This window comes from Homo sapiens, chromosome 5 (assembly GCF_000001405.40).
Source record: "Homo sapiens chromosome 5, GRCh38.p14 Primary Assembly".
In the NCBI taxonomy this organism is placed as follows: domain Eukaryota; kingdom Metazoa; phylum Chordata; class Mammalia; order Primates; family Hominidae; genus Homo; species Homo sapiens.
This window is the reverse complement of record NC_000005.10, coordinates 102,458,059-102,479,478: the sequence shown is the minus strand read 5'-3', so window position 1 is coordinate 102,479,478 and position 21,420 is coordinate 102,458,059. Positions and strand designations below refer to the sequence as shown.

Sequence of the window (21,420 nt, the reverse complement as noted above, 5' to 3'; positions counted from 1 at the left end):
AAATTATCATTAGGAAAGGTTTGTAGTTATTATTTTTGACATTTAAAATGACTAGCTGTATTTGTCTATTCTCAGACTGCTATAAAGAACTACCTGAGACTGGGTAATTTATAAAGAAAGAAGATTTAATTGACTCACAGTTCTGCAGCCTGTACAGGAGGGCTGGGGAGGCCTCAGGAAACTTAAAATCATAGTGGAAGTTGAAGGGGAAGCAAGCCTATCTTCACATTGTAGCAGGAGAGAGTGAGCAACGTGGGGAGTGTTACACACTTTCAAACAACCTGATCATGTGAGAACTCACTCACTATCACGAGAACAGCAAGGGGGAAATCTGCTCCCGTGATCCAGTCACCTCCCACCAGGTCCCTCCCGCAACATTGGGAATTACAATTCCACATGAGATTAGGGTGGGGACACAGAGCCAAAACATATAACTAGCCAAGGTAGGTGGAGTACAGTGCATAACAGGAAAAAAGTTCAAGGAACTAAGAGGTCAGGGTGTTGGAAATATCACATTGACACTGATATCACAAGTTAATATGTCTGTATAAAATTGAACCTTTGGCATTTGAATGACAGTTGTAGAGACTACCTCCCACTTGATATGAAGTCAAAATCATTTCACATGGATACTAAACCAGATGAAAATTTTCATTTGTATACTGTATTGCAATCTGCACTTTAATAGTGTTTCCACAATATTATTTTAAGAGCATTTTGTTAAATGTCAACCCATGGTTAAATAACCATGGCCAATATAATCTAATAGTATTGCCTGGATCTAACAATCTACAAACAAATTTAATTACACAAGCATTTACTTAATATTGTTATATAACCATGTGAATAAAAAAAGTATAAGAAATATACTGTGACCTGGAAGATATTAAAATCTAGTGGATGACCACATAATGACTAACTCTAACGGAAAGAAATGTTTACTGTATAATGCCTTGTCCTTATGAACATATGTTCTAAAAGTTAGTGAGTCTAAAATGGGAAATTATTTAATCAGAGTGAGACAAAGTGAATATAAAGATTGTTAAAGAGGTGAACATAAAACTAAACTCAGAAAGTACTCTTTGATAACGCAGATAATCTAGAACATTAGAAATACTTTTAGCCTAGGGTCAAAAGTCAGGGGAACTAGATGCCAAATTTAAGAGGAATATGTGCTATGTCTATGTGCAAATGCATATATATACAAACATATTTATGCACACATATATACAATCATGCATGCACATTTATGTTTTGGTTTATAATATATGCATCTTTTGCAGGATTCCCACACAATTTCTTCCTTTTTTTTATTTTTTATTTTGGAGACGGGGTCACAATATGTTGCCCAGGCTTGTCACAATCCTCTCACTTCACCTTTCCTAGTAGCTGGTACTACAGGTGTGTGCTGTGTCTGGCCCAAATTGTATGATGGCATTTTTCTGAGAACATGATGATTGATTGCAGTACTACTACATTCAATGTAAATGAAATGTTAACTAAAAGAAAAAAGCATAATTTTGGAAATAGCTTGTAAAATATTTGATAAAGAATACTGCACATTTGTTTTATGTTTGAGTTCAATTAACAAAAATATAATCATTGTATTTTCAAAAGATATTTGCGAAGAAATAAAGGTTGTCAGTGGTTGCCAGAGCAGTGGTATATCATTCCAATCAAAATACCTGTCTTTCTTCATCCTTGGGCAGACTGTGCAGGGAATAGCAGGAATGCCTCTTTATATCCTTGGAATAACCTTTATTGATGAGAATGTTGCTACACACTCAGCTGGTATCTATTTAGGCAAGTTTTACCCCCTCTATTACGATTGACCCATTTTGAGTTTTCTTTGAATTTTGGTATGCATATCTAAGCTGATATAGAAGTACTATTGGCCCTTATGATAACATTGTAATAAATGATAATTGGTATGCTAAACCTCCAAATCACATTGATTCACCTAATTCTAAGTAGCTGTTTGAGATTTGAGATTCTAGACAAGTCACCTGAATGTCACTGAAAATATATAGAGCAATTGAAAAAATACGTACTTTCGGCCAGGCATGGTGGCTCATGCCTGTAATCCTAGAACTTTGAGAGGCTGAGGTGGGCAGATCACTTGAGGTCAGGAGTTCAAAACCAGCCTGGCCAACATAGTGAAACCCTGTCTTTACTAAAAATACAAAAAAATTAGCTGGGCATGGTGGCGAGCACCTGTAATCTCAGCTACTCTGGAGGCTGAGGCAGGAGACTTGCTTAAACCCAGGAGGCAGAGATTGCAGCGAGCCAAGATCGTACCATTGCTGCCTGGGTGACAGAGCAAGACTCCGTCTCAAACAAACAAACAAAAAATACTTTCTTAAGTAATAAAAATTATACTCTTTATGTATATGTATGTACATTTATAAATATGTATATTCATATATGTGTATATATACTTAATTAATAATAGCATACTATCCCTATTTACAATGTCTATGCCACTGTATCCTACAATAAGTAATCCTGGCTATATCTCAGAATAACCTGTACTGTCTTATATTGCAATAGATTCTGGTACTGGTAGATCATCTATTTGTACAGGGTTATCTAACTATCACTTTTGAAAATAAATTTAAAGTTGTTTTTATATACTTATTGCGAAGGTGTATTGACACATCCTGGTAGCTAAGGTGAAGGGTGCAGAAGTAATGATAACTTTAAAGTATCATCTTGCTAGAGCACCCCAAATTAAATAAAATAAGATATTTTTAATTTCTAGTTATATTAAATATATTTCATGTATTTTACATTAAATATATAGATTAAATAAAGTATAATGAATTATATACTGAGTTTCTCTAATACATGAATTGGATAGTATGTATGATGGTTAGTTTTATGTGTTTGCTTGGCTGGGTTATGACACCTAGTTGTAAAGACAAACACTACTCCAGATGTTTTGGTGACTGTCATTTTTAGATGCGATGAACATTTACAATCAGCAGATTTTGAGCAAAACTGATTTCATAATGTGGATGAGCCTCATTCAATCAGTTGAAGGTTCTATGAGCAAAAACTGAGGTTTTCTGAAGAAGCAATTCTACCTAAAGATTGTAACATCAACTCTTACTTGAATTTCCAGCCTGCTGGCCTGCCCTACAAATTTGGGACTTGCTAGGCCTCATAATTGTATTTTGTATGAGCCAATTCCTTAAAATGAATCTGTCTGTTCTCTATGTCTTTGTTTTTTGAAGGTCATTTTTATTTTTGTGTTTAAAATTTTTTTTAATTTCAGTAGTGTTGGGGGGAACAGGTGGTATTTGGTTACATAGATAAGCTCTTTAGTGGTGATTTATGAGATTTTGGTGCACCCATCACCCAAGCAGTGTACGCTATACCCAATGTGCAGTCTTTTATCCCTCACCCACCTCTCACCATTACCCCCTGGTCCCCAAAGTCCATTATATCATTCTTATGCTTTTGCATCCTCATAGCTTGGTTCCCACTTCTGAGAACATAATGATACTTGGTTTTCCATTACTGTTTTTCTCTGTCTTTTATTGATTTTGTTTCTCTGGAGAGCTCTGACTAATACAGAATGCTATGAAAAGCTTTCAGAAGTAATCAATTTCAGTCAATTTTTATCATAACGAAGCTGGCTTATGAAATTGTTTGATGTTCAGTTTCAGTGCTTATTTTACAGGTATTGCAGAATGTACATCAATGATTGGATATGCTCTGGGTTATGTGCTAGGAGCACCACTAGTTAAAGTCCCTGAGAATACTACTTCTGCAACAAAGTAAGGCATTATTTTTTCTTTTTTTGTTTACATTGTATAAAATACTTACTAAATAGCTACCATAGCTTACAAGTAAATATATATATTTAATTTGTAATAACCATAGTTTTAGAAAAAATATATGCAAATGTGACATATGCACATATTTGTACATATAAATACATCTGAAATATACATCTTAAACATTTTTAAGTGCATAGTACAGCACTGTTAACTATGTGTACATTGTTTTTCAATATATATCTAGAATTTTTGCATCTTGCAAAAATGCAATCATTGTTCTACTTTTGTTTTCTGAGAGTCTGACTATTTTAGACACCTTATAAAACTGGAATCATGCAGTATTTTTCTTTTTGTGATTGGCTTATTTCACTTTAAATAATATTTTGAAGTTTCATGCATGTTGTAGCATATAACAGGATATCCTTCTTCATTTAAGGCTGAATAATACTCCACTGTATTATTGTACATACCACACTGGCTTTATTCATTCATTTTTCAATGGACATTAAAGTTGCTTCCAGCTCTTTACTATTGTGAATAATGCTGCAATTAATACAGGTGTACAAATATCCCACAGAGATCCTGTTGTCAATTCTTTTGTATATATACTCAGAAATTGGATTGCTAGATCATATGGTAAGTCTATTTTTCCAGTTTTATTTTTTCGAAAAACTTTTATACTGTTTTTTATAACGACTGCACCATTTTACATTCCTGCAGTGCACAGGGTTCCAATTTCTCCACATCCTCACCAATACTGTTTTGTTTGTTTTTTCTGTTTGTTTGTTTGTTTGTTTTTCTGATAGTGACCATCCTAATGGATCCAAGGTGATACCTTATTGTGGTTTTTATTTGCATTTCCCTGATTATTAGTAGTGTTGAGTATCTTTTCAATGCTTCTTCACCATTTGTATACCTTCTTTTATCAATCCAAGTCCTTTGGCCATTTTTAAATCAGATTGTTTTTTGTTGCTATTGGGTTGAAGTTCTTCATATATTCTGCATATTAGCCTCTTTTCAATAATGGTTTGCAAATGTTTTCTCCCATTCTGCAGGTTGCCTTTTCACTTCGCCAATTGTTTCCTTTACTGCAAAAAAGTTTTTAAGTTCTATGTAGTGCATTTGTCTGTTTTTGGTTTGCTGCCTGGGCTTTTGGTGTAATATCCAAAAAATAATTGTCAAATCCAATGGCATGAAGCATTCTCCCTATGCTTTCCTCTAGGAACTTTATGGTTTCAAGCCTTGTGTTTAGATGTCTAATCCATTTTGGGTTAATTTTTGTATATGGTGTAAGGTAAGGTTCCAACTTCATTCTTTTGCATGTGGATATCCAGTTTTCCCAACACTGTTTTTTGAAGACAATTCTTTGCACATTGTGTAGCCTTGGCACCCTTGTCAAAGATCATTTCACCGTATATATGAGGGTTTATTTCTGGGTTCTCTATTCTATTTCATTGGTCTGTGTGTCGGTCTTTATACCAGTACCATACTGTTTTGAGGACTGTAGCTTTGCAATATATTTGAAATCAGGAAGTGTTATGCCTCCAACTTTATTTTTCTTTTTGCAGATTGATTTGGCTGTTCAGGGTCTTTTCTGATTCCACATGATTTTTTTTCTATTTTTGTAAAAAACGCCATTGGAATTTTGATAGGGATTGCATTAAATCTGTATTTCACTTTGGGTTGTATAAACATTTTAACAATATTCTAATTCTAAGAATATTAATATTAATTATCATGTTCAATCCATAAACATGGGATCGCTTTACATCTATTTGTGTCTTTAATTTTTTTCAATAATGTTTTATAGTTTGCAATGCGCAAGTCTTTCTCCTCCTTGTACACTGTTCATTGTCAGTGTATGGAAACACAACTGATATTTGTGTGTTGATATTGCATCCTGCAACTTTACTAAATTCATTTAGTAGTTCTAATAGTTACACATATGTTATGTGTATGCAAGTATGTATGATCCTTAGGGTTTTCTATATATAAGATCATGTCATCTGAGAACAGGGATAATTTTACTTCTTCCTCTCCTATTTGGATGCCTTTTATTTCTTTTTCTTCCCCAATTTTTCTGGCTAGGACCTTCCAGTACTATGTCGAACATGGTGAGAACAAACTATGGACTTGTTCCTGATCTTAGAAAACTTGCTGGTTTTCACCATTGAGTATGATGTTAACTGTAGGCTTTTAATACAAGGCCTTTACTATATTGAGGTGTAATTTCCTTGTATTCCTAGTTTTCTCAGTGTTTTTGTCCTAAAAGGGCATTGAATTTTGTCAGATGCTTTTTCTGAATCAATTGACATGATCATGTGGTTTTTCTCTATTATGTTAATGTGGTGTATTACACTGATTTATTTTCATATGCTGAACCATCTTTATATTCCAGAAACAAATCCCACTTGATTATGATGTATATTCCCTTTAATATGTTGTTACATTCAATTTGCTTGTGTTTTGATTAGGATTTTTTTCATCAGTATTCATCAGAGATATTAGTCTGTAGTTTTCTTGTAGTATCTTTTTCTAGGTTCAGTATTAGAGTATGTTGGCCACATAGAAAGAATTTGAAGTATTCCCTCCTCTTCAGTTACTTGGAGGATTTTGAGAAGGATTATTGTTAATTCTTATTGAAATATTTGGTACGGTTCTCCAGTGAAGCTATCTGGCCCTAGGCTTTCCTCTGTTGGGAGGTTTTTGATGGCTGATTCAATCACCTTACTAGTTACAGGTCTGTTCAGATACTTTGTTTCTTCATCATTTAGTGTTGGTAGGTTGAATGTTTCTAGAAATGTATCCATGTCTTCTAAGTTATCTAATTTGTTGGGATATAATTATTCATAGTAGTTTCTTGTGATTCTTCTTACTTCTGTGGCATTTAGTTGTAAAGTCTTCCGCTCATTTCTGATTTTTGTTATTTGAGTCTTATCTCTTTTTTCTTAATTTCTCTGGCCAAGGTTTGTCAATTTTGTTAATCTCTTTTAAAAAACCATCTCTTTGTTTTGTTTATTTTCTCTATGGTTTTTCCAGGCTCTATTTCATTTACAGTATTTCTGCTGTAATCTCTATTATTTCCTTTCTACAGTTACATAAATATATATTTTAAAGCTGTATTTTAATTATATATTGGGAACTAGTACCATCAATTACCTCCTCCTCAACTTTTCTTGTTCTCTTGTTGAGATGATGGAGTTAATTAAGGAGCTATACCTACCACTTTAAGAAAATAGAGAAGTGTACCTTCCATTTCTGAAATTCTGAGTTCATATGAAGGAAGAACTAGTAGAAACTGAGATAACGAAGAATAGTTCCATGGTTGTTTATTGCTACAGGTACTACCTGGAAACTATCCTGCTAGTTCCCCTGGCAACTCACTTGGGTTCTTACCCAGCTAGTATAACGTTTTGGTAACTACCAGACAAATATCATAAAAGGAAACAGATAAGTTTTCAGGGAATAAGCTGTGTGCTGAATATATTTTGTTTGCCTCTCTAAATTTACTCTTCATCTTTCTAAAATCTTCTCCACCCTCCTCTGCTCAGGGAGGCTGACCTGTATTGACAGCCTCAATGTATTCCCCTGTACTCTATCTAGATTTCACTTGGGTTTTGCCACTGAGAGTCATTGGCAGATGAGAAGGCAGGGGAAGCTTAAGATTACGGCATTTATTCTTTCGGTTCTTCCTGAAGGCTTGTACCCAGATTGGTTGTATTTCTCTTCTGAAGGCCATGGCTATCAGCAGGATACCCTCAACATTTATTAAGCACTATTCCAATGACATTCAGGGCTGTGATAAGAGCTTGCTACTATAGCTAGCCCCAGAATGTTATACTGTGCCTTGTTATTTTTCCTGAAGTCTGCCCACATTACTAAAAATAGTTCCCTTATCACTCTTCAAATGATCTAGTGTGAGTTAACTGTACATTTTCTACCAGGATTCTGAGTGATATTAGAAGTAGTATCAGAAGTAGCAATAGGGTTCCAGAACTATGTTGAATGTTTGTGTACACAGATATTCTTGCTAGGGATAAATTGGACACAGTTATTAAAATTATCACAGGTTGTGGATTGGGATTAAGGCTTTAGGAAATTAAGCGGGTGTAGCATTTAATTCAAATGACAAAAGTAATTTTAAAGAATTCTGGGCTGTATGGGTTCTTTTAACAACGCTAGAGAATATTTCCAGAGAAAAGGAAACATTTAAGCGTGTGAATGTTCAGAAAGGAATGGTCACTACATTATGGCTTCACTAAACAGTGGCCCTAAGATACAGGAAACCCGTCTAGCAGTTAGAATTTCAGGCTGTCCTGTATTAAGGTTGTTCACTTAATATAGGAGAGATGGCCTGAGGTATAAATCTCTATTGATTTATGTTCAGCTTGTTTGGGTAGTTAGAGACTTAGAGCAAGACTGGAAAATAGGTGGTAAGGAGAACATGTGATTGAACCTCTCTGAAGGGGTGCATGAAGAAGGTATTTACTTTGGAAGGTTCTCAAGTCAGTCGAACAGTATGACCAATCCTGTTAATGTCAGTGAGCCTCTGTCTCTTTTTTTAAAAACCAACCTAGGTCTTCATTAATGGGCCCATGTGAAAAATGACCGTGGAGAAATCATTACAACAACTCACGAAAGAAAAACCATGCCCCAAGAAAGGAGAAAACAAAGCTAACTCCACCGCCTATAACATCTTGGCTAATCAGAGGTCCTGAGTCTGTCCACATGACACCTTTATTGCAAGCACAAAAAACAATCGAGAAAACCAGTGCACTAAACAAAACTACAACCAAGGACCTTCACAGAATCCACTGCATTCCCCTGCTACCTCCACCAGAACAGGTGCTGGATTCCATGGCTGAGAGGCCTTAAGACAAGTCATATTATAGGACTCTTTAGAGATGCTCCCCAGTACCAGCCTGAAGCCTGGTAGTTCCACTGGGTAGCTAGGCCCAGAAGAGAAATAATAATCTCTACAGTCCAGCTTTCAGGAAGCCCCATCCCTAGGGGAAGCAGGAGAGCACCACATCAAGGGAACACCCCATGAGACAAAAAACCCTTCAAAAAATCAATGAATCCAGGAGCTGGTTTTTTGAAAAGATCAACAAAATAGACCGCTAGCAAGACTAATAAAGAAGAAAAGAGAGAAGAATCAAGTAGACACAATAAAAAATGATAAAAGGGATATCACCACTGATCCCACAGAAATACAAACTACCATCAGAGAATACTATAAACATCTCTATGCAAATAAACTAGAAAATCTAGAAGAAATGGATAAATTCCTGGAGACATACACCCTCCCAAGACTAAACCAGGAAGAAGTTGAATCTCTGAATAGACCAATAACAGGTTCTGAAATCGAGGCAATAATTAATAGCCTACCAACCAAAAAAAGTCCAGGACCAGACAGATTCACAACTGAATTCTACCAGAGGTACAAAGAAGAGCTGGTACCATTCCTTCTGAAACTATTCCAATCACTAGAAAAAGAGGGAATCCTCTCTAACTCATTTTATGAGGCCAGCATCATCCTGAAACCAAAGCCTGGCAGAGACACACACACAAAAAAGAGAATTTTAGGCCAATATCCCTGATGAACATCGATGCGAAAATCCTCAATAAAATACTGGCAAACTGAATCCAGCAGCACATCAAAAAGTTCCACCATGATCAAGTGGGCTTCATCCCTGGGATGCAAGGCTGGTTCAACATACGCAAATCAATAAACATAATCCACTCACATAAACAGAACCAACGACAAAAGCCACATGATTATCGCAGTAGATGTGGAAAAGGCCTTCAACAAAATTCAGCAGCCTTTCATGCTAAAAACTCTCAATAAACTAGGTATTGATGGAATGTATCTCAAAATAATAAGAACTATTTATGACAAACCCACAGCCAATATCATACTGAATGGGCAAAAACTGGAAGCATTCCCTTTGAAAACCGGCACAAGACAAGGATGCCCTCTCTCACCACTCCTATTCAACATAGTATTGGAAGTTCTGGCCAGGGCAATCAGGCAAGAGAAAGAAATAAAGGGTATTTAATTACAAAAAGAGGAATTCAAATTGTCCCTGTTTGCAGATGACATGATTGTATGTTCAGAAAACCCCGTCGTCTCAGCCCAAAATCTCCTTAAGCTGATAAGCAACTTCAGCAAAGTCTCAGGATACAAAATCAATGTGCAAAAATCACAAGCATTCCTATACACCAATAACACACAGAGAGCAAAATCATGAGTGAACTCCAATTCACAATTACTACAAAGAGAATAAAATAACTAGGAATCCAACTTACAAGGGATGTGAAGGACCTCTTCAAGGAGAACTGCAAACCACTGCTCAACGAAATAAAAAAGGACACAAACAAATGGAAGAATATTCCATGCTCATGGATAGGAAGAATCAGTATCGTGAAAATAGCCATACTGCCCAAGGTAATTTATAGGTTCAATGCCATCCCCATCAAGCTGCCAATGACTTGCTTCACAGAATTGGAAAAAACTACTTTAAACTTCATGTGAAACCAAAAAAAAAAGCCTGCATAGCCAAGACAATCCTAAGCAAAAAGAACAAAGCTGGAGGCATCACGCTACCTGACTTCAAACTATACTACAAGGCTACAGTAAGCAAAACAGCATGGTACTGGTACCAAAGCAGACATATAGACCAATGGAACAGAACAGAGGCCTCAGAAATAACACTACACATCTACAACCATCTGATCTTTGACAAACCTGACAAAAACAAGCAACGGGGAAAGGATTCCCTATTTAATAAATGGTGCTGGGAAAACTGGTTAGCAATATGTAGAAAGCTGAAACTGGATCCTTTCCTTACACCGTATACAAAAATTAACTCAAGATGGATTAAAGACTTAAATGTAAGACCTAAAACCATAAAAACCCTAGAAGAAAACGAAGTATCTGCTGTCTTCAAGAGACTCACGTAATACATAAGGACTCACACAAACTTAAAGTAAAAGGGTAGAAGAAGATATTCCATGCAAATGGTAACTAAAAGTGAGCAGGAGTAGCTATTCTTATATCAGACAAAACAGACTTTAAAGTAACAACAGTTAAAAAAGACAAAGAGGGATATTATAAAATGATAAAAAGTCTAGTTCAACAGGAAAATGTCACAATCCTAAATATATATGTACTTAATGCTGGAGCTCCTAAATTTTTAAAATAATTACTACTCTATGTAAGAAATGAGATAGATGACAACACAATAATAGTGGGGACTTCAGTACTCCACTGACAGCACTAGATAGGTCATCAAGACAGAAAGTCAACAAAGAAACAATGGACTTAAAATATACCCTAGAACAAATGGACTTAACAGATATTTACAGAACATTCTACCCCAAAACTGCAGGATATATTCTTTTCCTCAGCACATGGAACATTCTCCAAGATAGACTGTATGATAGGCCACAAAATATGTCTCGATAAATTTAAGACAATGGAAAGCATATCAAGTATCCTCTCAGACCACAGTGGAATAAAATTGGAAATCTACTCCAAAAGGAAACCTCAAAACCATGCAAATACATGGAAATTAAACAACCTGCTCCTGAATTATTATTGGATCAATAATGAAATCAGTATGGAAATTAAGCATTTCTTTGAACTGAACGATGATAGTGACACAAACCTATCAAAACCCCTAGGATACAGCAAAAGCAATGCTAAAAGGACAGTTTATAGCATTAAATGCCTACATCAAGAAGTCTGAAAGAGCATGATTAGACCATCTAAGGTCACACCTCAAGGAACTGGAGAAACAAGAATGAACCAAACACAAAACCAGCAGAAGGAAAGAAATAACAAAGATCAGAGCAGAACTAAATGAAATTGAAACCAAAAATACAAAAGATAAATGAAACACAACACTGGTTCTTTGAAAAGATAAACAAAATATATAGACCATTAGTGAGATTAACCAGGAAAGAAAGAAAGGTGATTCAAACAAGCTCAATTAGAAATGAAATGGGAGATATTACAACTGATACCACACAAATGCAAAAGAACATTCAATGCCACTGATACGGTTTGGCTGTGTCCCTACACAAATCTCACCTTCAATTGTAATAACCCCCACATGATAAGGGCAGGGCCAAGTGGAAATAAATGAATCGTGGGGGCAGTTTCCCTCATACTGTACTCGTATGTAGTGAATAAGTCTCATGATATTTGATGGTTTTATAAATGGGAGGTCCCCTGCACAAGATCTCTTGCCTGCCACCAGTTTTGTTATTTTTTTTTTTAAAGAGATTCTCACTCTGTCACCCAGGCTCTAGTGCAGTGGTATAATCACAGCTTACTAAAGCCTCAATTCCTGGACTCAGGTGATCCTCCCACCTCTGGAGTAGCTAGGACTACAGGCATGCATCCTTATACCAGGATAATGTTTTTGTATTTTTGGTAAAGACGAGGTTTACAAAGAAATCAGAACTTCATATACATCATATGTAAAAATCACAATATACAAAAATCAACTCAAGATGGATTAAAGACTTAAATGTAAAACCCAAAGCTACAAAAACTCTAGAAGAAAACCTAGGCTGTACCATTCAGGAATAGGCATGGGCAAAGATTTCATGATGAAGACACCAAAACAATTGCAACAAAAACAAAAATTGACGATTGAGATCTGATTAAACTAAAGAGCTTCTGCACAGCCAAAGAAACTATCAACAGAGTAAACAGACAACCTACAGAATGGGAGAAAATTTTAACAAACATGCATCTGACTAAGGTCTAATATCCAGCATCTATAAGGAATATAAATTTACAAGAATAAAAACAAACAACTCCATTAAAAAGTAGGCAAAGGACATGAACAGACACTTCTCAAAAGAAGACATACATGTGGTCCACAATCATATGAAAAAAGTCTCAACATCACTAATCATTAGAGAAATGCAAATCAAAACCGCAATGAGGTACTATTTCACATAAGTCACAATGGCTATTAAGAAGTCAAAAAATTACAGAAGCTGGTGAGGCTGTGGAGAAAAGGAACTCTTTTACACTCTTGGTGGGAGTATAAATTAGTTCAACCATTGTGGAAGACAGTGCGGTAATTCCTCAAAGACCTAGAGACTGAAATACCATTCAGCCTAGCAATCCTATTACTGGGTATATACCAAAGATAAACATCATCCAGTTATAAAGACACATGCACACATATGATCATTGCAGCATTATTCACAATAGCAAAGACATGGAATTGATCTAAATGCCCATCAATGATAGACTGGACAAAGAAAATGTGGTAAATATACACCAGGGAATACTATGCAGCCATAAAAAGGAACAAGATCATGTCCTTTGGAGGGATATGAATGGAGCCGGAGGCCATTATCCTTAGTAAACTAATGCAGGAATAGAAAACCAAATACCGTATATTTTCTCTTATAAATGGGAGCTAAATGATGAGAACACATAGATACATAGATAGGAAAAATAGCTGTGGCCTACTGGAGGGCAGAGGGTGGGGGGAGGAAAAGGATCAGAAAAAGCATCTAATTAATACTAGGCTTAATACCTGGTTGATGAAATAATCTGTAAAACAAACCCCTGACACACATTTACTTATTTAACAAACCTCCACATCCTGCGCTTATACCCATGAACTTAAAATAAAAGTTAAAAAGGAAAAAGAGAAGCCCAATACTAAATAATGTGAATATTCTGAGTTTCTGGTGGGGGAGGAATGGGTTTCTGCTGTATAGTAGAGACAGGCACAACTTTGTTTGAAATCCAGGGGATTTACTTGATTCTTAGTATTCACATTGTCCAGTAGTTCTCTTTAATGAATAACTGCCTCAACTCATTAAAGAAAATACCACTAAGGCTCAGATCTTATAGGAATGATAGTTTGGGTCACCTCACCAGGTGAAGTATTCTTTCCAACCAAGGTGCTAACTGAGGGTAAGGTATTCATATGATAGATGGTGAATGAAGGAAGATGTGATGGTAAACTCAGACCTTGTCACTACTAATGATGCAGGGACAGTAGCAACTAGGTTTTGTGTTAGTTTTCTTCTAATTTTTATTCTTCTAGGTTATATGATGATCCCTGGTAATGGTAACTGTTTTAGACATAATGCGTTTCTCTCAAGGTACTTGAGACAAAGAATTTGAGATAAATACATGAATGCACACTATTAATTTGAGAAATGATACTAGGAAGCATGATAGGGTAGTGGGGAAATAAGCATGGGAAGTTAAAGAAGACAATAAAGTGTTCATTATATTGAGCAATTTACTGCTTGGGGCAACTAGGACTCAATCCCACTGGAGAACTCTGGCGGACAGTGTAAGATATGAGTTATCCCAGATATATATATATATATATCCACTAACTCCTAGAAATTGTTGGTCAAGCGATGCTCCTGGGGTTATTATTAAGCCCTAGGTATTTCTGACCTGCTCTCTGAGAACTGGGCCAAGCATAAAGTTCCTGCTATTCAAAGTTAATCATTTGTTATATATGGGAGTGATGAATGTCTAGCTGACATAATACAAATGGGACACTAACAACATCTTCTACAACAGTGTTTTAGTTTTCAGTTGCAAATATATTTGAATTATTATAACCCAATAATTGTATAATAGCTAACAGGATTTGGTGTAGTTATCTCAAGAATTTTCTCACCCAAGATTTTTTTTTTCCAGCAAAGGGCACTAGCAGATTCTGAGGTACAAAAGTGATGGATTGTGTTGGATATCATCAGTTTGCTACTATAGTTCCACTCCCTACTTTTCTCCACTCTGCTCTGTACCTAAAGCGGTTGACCTATTATAGACAACATCAATGGTCTCCTTTACCATCTAGCTTAGTTTTAGGCTTGGCTTGTGAAGAGCACTGGCAAGAGATCTGAGAGCATCAGGAAACTTAAATCTGGATATTTATTCTTTCCTTTCCTTTCCTGATGAATCTCAATGGCTTGGTGGTGTCTCTTTAATAAAGGCTACATTTGTCTTATGACCCTCTGATACAACCACCTGTAGAGTTCACTTAACTTCTGTCTCCTCTTGCCTCTTCAGGCACCTTTTCAGGTGGTAATGGCTCTCTTCTGTTGCAAGACCCAGGATACCATCTCTTCCCATACAGATTTCTTTAAACTTTCCTTATGTCACTTAAACAGTCCCTTTTATTAAATTACTCAAAGAGAATGTATTATTAGGACTCAGTATGTATATTAACCTTCTGTATTTTTTTGAATTTGCTTCTTATTTCCTGTCTTATTTTTATATTGGTTCATTATTTCTTATAGATTTATAAAAATTCTTCACTTATTATGGATATTAATTGTTTGCTAGACCTATGACAAATAATTTCTCCCAATCTGTCCTTAAACTTTGTATATGGTATATTATAGAAACTTTAAAAGTTTTTTATCATCAAATATGTCAATATTTTTCTTTCCGTAAACTTTGAATGTTCTTTCTTGCGTAAGAAGTTCTGTTTTTTTATTTCGATAGTTTTTGGGGAACAGGTGTTTTTTTTTGTTACCTGAATAAGTTCTTTAGTGGTTATTTCTGAGATTTTGGTGCACCCACCACCTGAGAAGTGTACACTGTACGCAATGTGTAGTCTTTTATCCCTCACCCCCCATCCTACCCTTCCCTGCAAGTCCCCAAAGTCCATTACATTTCTTCTTATGCCTTTACATGCTCATAGCTTAGCTCCCACTAATGAGTGAGAACATGCGCAGTTCCATCCAGGTTGCTGCAAATGCCATTATTTTGTTCCTGTTTTTTTTTTTTTTTCTTCTTTTTTGAGACGGAGTTTCACTCTTGTCGCCCAGGCTGGAGTGCAATGGCGCAATCTCGACTCACTGCAACCTCCACCTCCTGGGTTTAAGCAATTCTCCTGCCTCAGCCTCCCCAGTAGCTGGGATTACAGGCATGCGCCATCACGCCCGGCTAATTTTGTGTTTTCAGTAGAGATGGGGTTTCTCCACTTTGGTCAGGCTGGTCTTGAACTCCCGAGCTCAGGTGATCCCCCCGCCTCGGCCTCCCAAAGTGCTGGGATTACAGGCATGAGCCACCGTGCCCGGCCTATTTTGTTCCTTTTTATGGTGGAGTAGTATTCCATGGTGTATATATACCACATTTTCTTTATCCACTCATTTGTTGATGGGCATTTAGTCTGGTTCCATATTTTTGCAATTGCAAGTTGTGCTGCTATAAACATGTATGTGCAAGTGTCTTTTTCATATGACGTATTTTGTTCTGGGTAGATACCCAGTAGTGAGATTGTTTGATCAAATGGTAGTTCTACTTTTAGTTCTTTAAGAAATCTCCATACTGTTTTCCATAGTGATCGTACTAGTTTACATTTCCACCAGCAGTGTAAAAGTATTCCCTTCTCACCACATCCACATCCACACCAACATCTAATTTTTATTTTTTAATTATGGCCATTCTTGCAGGAGTAAGGTAGTATCTCATTGTGGTTTTAACTTGCATTCCCTTGATAATCAGTGATATTGAGCATTTTTTCATATGTTTATTGGGCATTGTATATCTTCTTTTGAGAGTTGTCTATTGATGTTCTTTGCCCACTTTTTGATGGGATTGTTTTTTTCTTACTGATTTGTTTGAATTCCTAGTTGATTCTGGATATTAGTCCTGTGTCATATGCATAGTTTGCAAATATTTTCTCCCACACTGTGGGTTGTCTGTTTTCTCTGCTGATTATTTCTTTTGCTGTGCAGAAGCTTTTCTGTTTAATTAGGTCTCATCTTTATTTTTGCTTTAGGATTTGCTTTGGGATTCTTGTTCATTAACTCTTTGCCTAAGCCAACATCTAGAAGAGTTTCTATGATGTTATTTTCTAGAAGTTTTATGATGTCAGGTCTTAAATTTAAGTCTTTGATCCATCTTGAGTTGATTTTTGTATAAGGTAAGACAATAAGGTAAGACTTGAGTTGATTTTTGTATAAATGGACAATGAGGATCCAGTTTCTTTCTTCTACATGTTGCTTGCCAGTTATCCAAGCACCATTTGTTGAATAGGACGTCCTTTCCCCGATTAAAATTTTTGTTTGCTTTGTCAAAGTTCAGTTGGTTGCAAGTATTTGGCTTTATTTATGGGTTATCTATTCTGTCCCATTGGTCTGTGTGCCTATTTTTATACCAGTAGCATGCTGCTTTGCTGACTATAGCCTTGTAGTACATTTTGAAGTCAGGTAGTGTGATGCCTCTAGATTTGTTATTTTTACTTAGTCTTGCTTTGGCTATGCAGACTCTTTTTCAGTTCCATGTGAATTTTAGGATTGTTTTTTCTAGTTCTGTGAAGAATGATCTTGGTACTTTGATGGAAATTGCATTGAATCAATAGATTGCTTTTGGCAGTATGGTCATTTTCACAATATTGATTCTATCCATCCATGAGCATGGAATGTGCTTCCATTCATTTGTGTCACCTATGATTTATTTCAGCAGTGCTTTGTAGTTTTCCTGGTAGAGGTCTTTCACCTCCTTGGTTAGGTATGTTCCTAAGTATTTTTACTTTATTTTATTTTATTGCAGCTGTTGTAAAAGAGATTGAGTTCTTGATTTGTTTATCAGGTTGGATATTGTCGGTGTATAGCAGTGCTACTGATTTGTGTACATTGATACATTATCCTGAAACTTTACTGAATTCATTCATCAGTTCTTGGAGATTTTTGGATGGGTCTTTATGGTTTTCTAGCTATATAATCATATCATTGGTGAACAGTAACAGTTTGACTTCCTCTTTACTGATTTGGATGCCCTTTATTTCTTTCTCTTGTTTAATTGCTCTGGCTAGGACAAGAAGTTCTTATGCTCTATAAACTTGTTAAAATATTTGACTATATTTTCTCCAGTACTTTTGTAAATGTGTTTGTATGTTTATATTTAACATTCAATTTCAGTTTATTTTTGCATATAAGAGGCATGGGCCAAGCTTCTCTTTTTCCTTCAACAGGATATCTAATTGCACTGATGACATTTATGTATCATGATGGTATTTAATATCAATAAAAAACACATATTCATCATAAACTAAAGTTACCTGTATCCATAGATTTCCTTCTTGTCTCATTTAATCTATTCCCTGACAAACATTTCTATTCCCATGCCAATATTACAATATTTTAGTTACTAAAGCTTTATTGTATAGTTTTCTATTTGGTAAGAGAAGTACCCATTTATTATTGTTTTTCATCCAACATTGGGGCTATGTTTGCAAAATGACTCTTCAATCTAAATTTTATACTCTCAGGTTTTAATCAAAGCATTTTGATTTGAATTACTTGAATTTGTGGGCCACATTAGGACTGTTATCTTTTTATACATATGGTATGTTACACTATTTTCTCTGTTTTTCTTTTATACCCTTCAATAAAGATTTATAATTTCCTTTATTGAACATATTCCATTAAGCCTATTCCTAGGCATTTCATACATTTGTTAGTATTGTGAATGGAAGCTCTATATTTTATATATAACCATTATATTGTTTTTCCCAATTGATAGTTTTTTTAGTTGATTTCCCTACCTCTTCCGGGTACACAATTATACACACATATGTAATAATCACATGTAATATAATGTATATAGTTAGAATACATAGCTGGGTTCAAAAGTGAAAAAAACTCCTGACTATTATAATCAATGAGGAAACATGCAGCCCTAGTGACAATCTGGAATTGAAACTCCCTGAGTGTAGCATATGCAGATATATATATATATATATATATATATATATATATATATATATATATATATATATATGAGATAAGTGGGTAATGACAATCAAGACTGCAACCCTAGGAAAATTGGAATTTCTATTCCTTAATAATGCTAGCAGTAGACAAAGAGCTGTCCCATCAGTGAATAAGACAGTGTACATTCTCTACATTCCTATGAGAAACAAGGTCTGTAAGAAGTTGTTCACCAGATCTTGGTTGGCAACAGAAACACCCATGAAAAACCAGCACTTCCAAAACTATGGTTTCTGTGGATGTGAGCATTTTCCCACAATGACTGTTTGGAGGGGGTCTTAAATGTGTGTGAAGTAGAAGACAATGGCGTCTATGTATTAATCAACCTCCCCTAATCTCCTCCTTAAATGATAGAATAGCTTCACAACTATGAAAATTCTCCACAAATCCCTGGCTTCAGCATTAACTGAAGACAAAGTATGCTTAAACTGCAAAATAATTATGAGTAAAATGAGAATAATAACAAATCCCAGCATAGAATCCTCGACTTTCCAATATCACCTTCCCCACTGCAAGGCTTTATGGTGAACAAAGGCAGATGAAGAAAAATTGCAGAGAAGACAGAAGACAGCAAAGGGTCCTAAGGGTGATTTGGAATAATAACTAGAAGGATACATTCACACTAAATCTGAAAGTTCGGAGAAGGGACTAGAAGAAAGGGATTTCAAAATATTTGTAATTGAAAGGATTAAATGCCATAAAAAGCTTCAGTTCTGCAACATAAGGGGCCAAGCTTGTCATAAAGGTCTCAGTGCTTGATTTTTAAGAATGATTTTAAAGGAAAGGTAAGATTTAAAAAGGTAGTGTTCCAAATACATAGCTTCTGGTGGATAAAAAAAAGTTAAATAGGAAGAAACAAGTACTTTTTGCTACCTGAGTGGTGCCAAGAAAAAGAAGGAAAAGGGAAAATATTAGAATCCTGTAAGACAAAACAAGCACATAATTGGGGACTCACAATTATTCCCACTCAACAAAACAAACAATAGTAACAAATTAACAAAAAAAGTTCCATTTCTGTCTCACTCTCCAACCCTCCCTCTCTCACTCTCACTTTCTCCACTCTGTTTGATTATGGTTTTGTTGTAATCAAATACCTAAAGTTGCTTTTTTTTTTCACTTTTCTTTATTAAAGCACTACAGTCAATAATGGTAGTCCAGAATGGCTATGGACTTGGTGGATTAATTTTCTTTTTGCCGCTGTCGTTGCATGGTGTACATTAATACCATTGTCATGCTTTCCAAACAATATGCCAGGTGACTATAAAATGTAATTTATTAAATTGGAGGATAGTAGTTTCTTCCACCATGGTTCTTATTCTCATAGAATGACTGTATTACATTTTTAATAAAATGAGTATGCCTCTCGCTGTAGTGGTTTGTCATAGAGATACAGTGTCAAGTGCTAGTGTTATTTAAGCAAATAAAGCAGCATTACAGCCAAATATTATTTGATTTATGTACCAGAATTTCTTCTTCTTTGTATTTAGTTTTGAGACAGGGCCTTGCTCTGTCACTCAGGCTGAGTGCAGTGGTATGATCACAGATCACTGCAGACTCAAACTTCTGGGCTCAAGTCATCCTCCTGCCTCACCTCCAGAGTAGAATTGGACTACAGGTGCATGCCACCATGTTCAGCAAGTTTTTAAAATTTTTCCTTTTTGTTCTAGAGATGGAGTCTTGCTATGTTGTGCAGGCTAGTCTTAAACTCCTGGCCTCAAACTATCCTTCCACCTTAGCTTCACAACGCGTTGAGATTACAGGTGTAGGCCACCACACCTGGACCAGAATTTCATTAGAATTAGTGCATATTTTTGTTTCTCATTATTTCCTTTTAAAGATGCTTTATATCTAGAGTTCATACAGTGTCTTGAAAACAAGCATATTTAAATCTACTTACCTAGCATTTAATGTATTGACTACCTTAGAATTGTAAGATAAAATAATAACTGTTAAAATTTTCTTAGAAACACTGAAAAATACATGTAAAGTCAAAGAAATCAAATAACTCTCCTGATTATAGTACATTTCATTGGCACAAAATAGTTTTAGTTATATCAAAGATTATTCCCTCATATTTTAGGGCAAATCAAGTGTGGCTAAATTTTAAAATAAATTAAAATTTTATTTATTCAGTCATAGGAGCTACATTTCAAGTATTTAACAGCCATGTGTAGCTAGTGGCTACAGTATTGGACTGGGCAGATATGGAAAGTTTTCATTATCACAGAATGTTCTTCAGGACAACACTGTTTTAGAAGATTGTGTCTTTTAATTAATGAGATTGAGTTTAGCTTGTTCAAAAATAACTCATTTGCCATTTCAGGATTAATTGAATTTATTAGGGTGTGTATGTAGGTTTTATGTATGGGTTTTAGTTATTTGAATATGTCATAAGTTTTTTTACTTGTTTATATATAGGTTCAACACGGATAAAAGCTAGGAAACGTAAACAGCTTCATTTTTTTGACAGCAGACTTAAAGATCTGAAACTTGGAACTAATATCAAGGATTTATGTGCTGCTCTTTGGGTAAAGTAAAATATTTTACTTGAACAATCCAACTAAGTTGACCTGTTTAATTTTCTAATAATGAACTTATGAAAATACCCATAAAGGGTTCAACCTAAATCTGGGTGAGACTTTTTTTTTCTTTTTTATTATTATACTTTAAGTTTTAGGGTACATGTGCACAACGTGCCGGTTAGTTACATATGTATACATGTGCCATGTTGGTGTGCTGAACCCAGTAACTCATTATTTAACATTAGGTATATCTCCAAATGCTATCCCTCCCCCCTCCACCCACCCCACAACAGGCCCCTGTGTGTGATGTTCCCCTTCCTGTGTCCATG

The 21,420-nt window shown here is 35.5% G+C and overlaps 1 protein-coding gene across 10 annotated transcripts in view; it reads left to right on the top strand.

Moving 5' to 3' along the window:
- The window catches only part of SLCO6A1 (solute carrier organic anion transporter family member 6A1), a 127,228-nt gene that overhangs the window by 19,523 nt on the left and 86,285 nt on the right, over positions 1-21,420 (top strand). For 4 of the 10 annotated variants that reach the window (NM_001289002.2, NM_173488.5, XM_005271874.4 and 1 more), the window contains exons 3-6: positions 1,618-1,803; positions 3,686-3,782; positions 19,702-19,823; positions 20,988-21,097. In NM_001289002.2, the coding sequence (NP_001275931.1) occupies positions 1,618-1,803; positions 3,686-3,782; positions 19,702-19,823; positions 20,988-21,097 (515 nt within the window). The remainder of the gene's footprint in view (positions 1-1,617; positions 1,804-3,685; positions 3,783-19,701; positions 19,824-20,987; positions 21,098-21,420) is intronic. The other 6 variants (XM_011543148.3, XM_011543147.3, XM_011543150.2 and 3 more) reach the window with 3 other exon arrangements.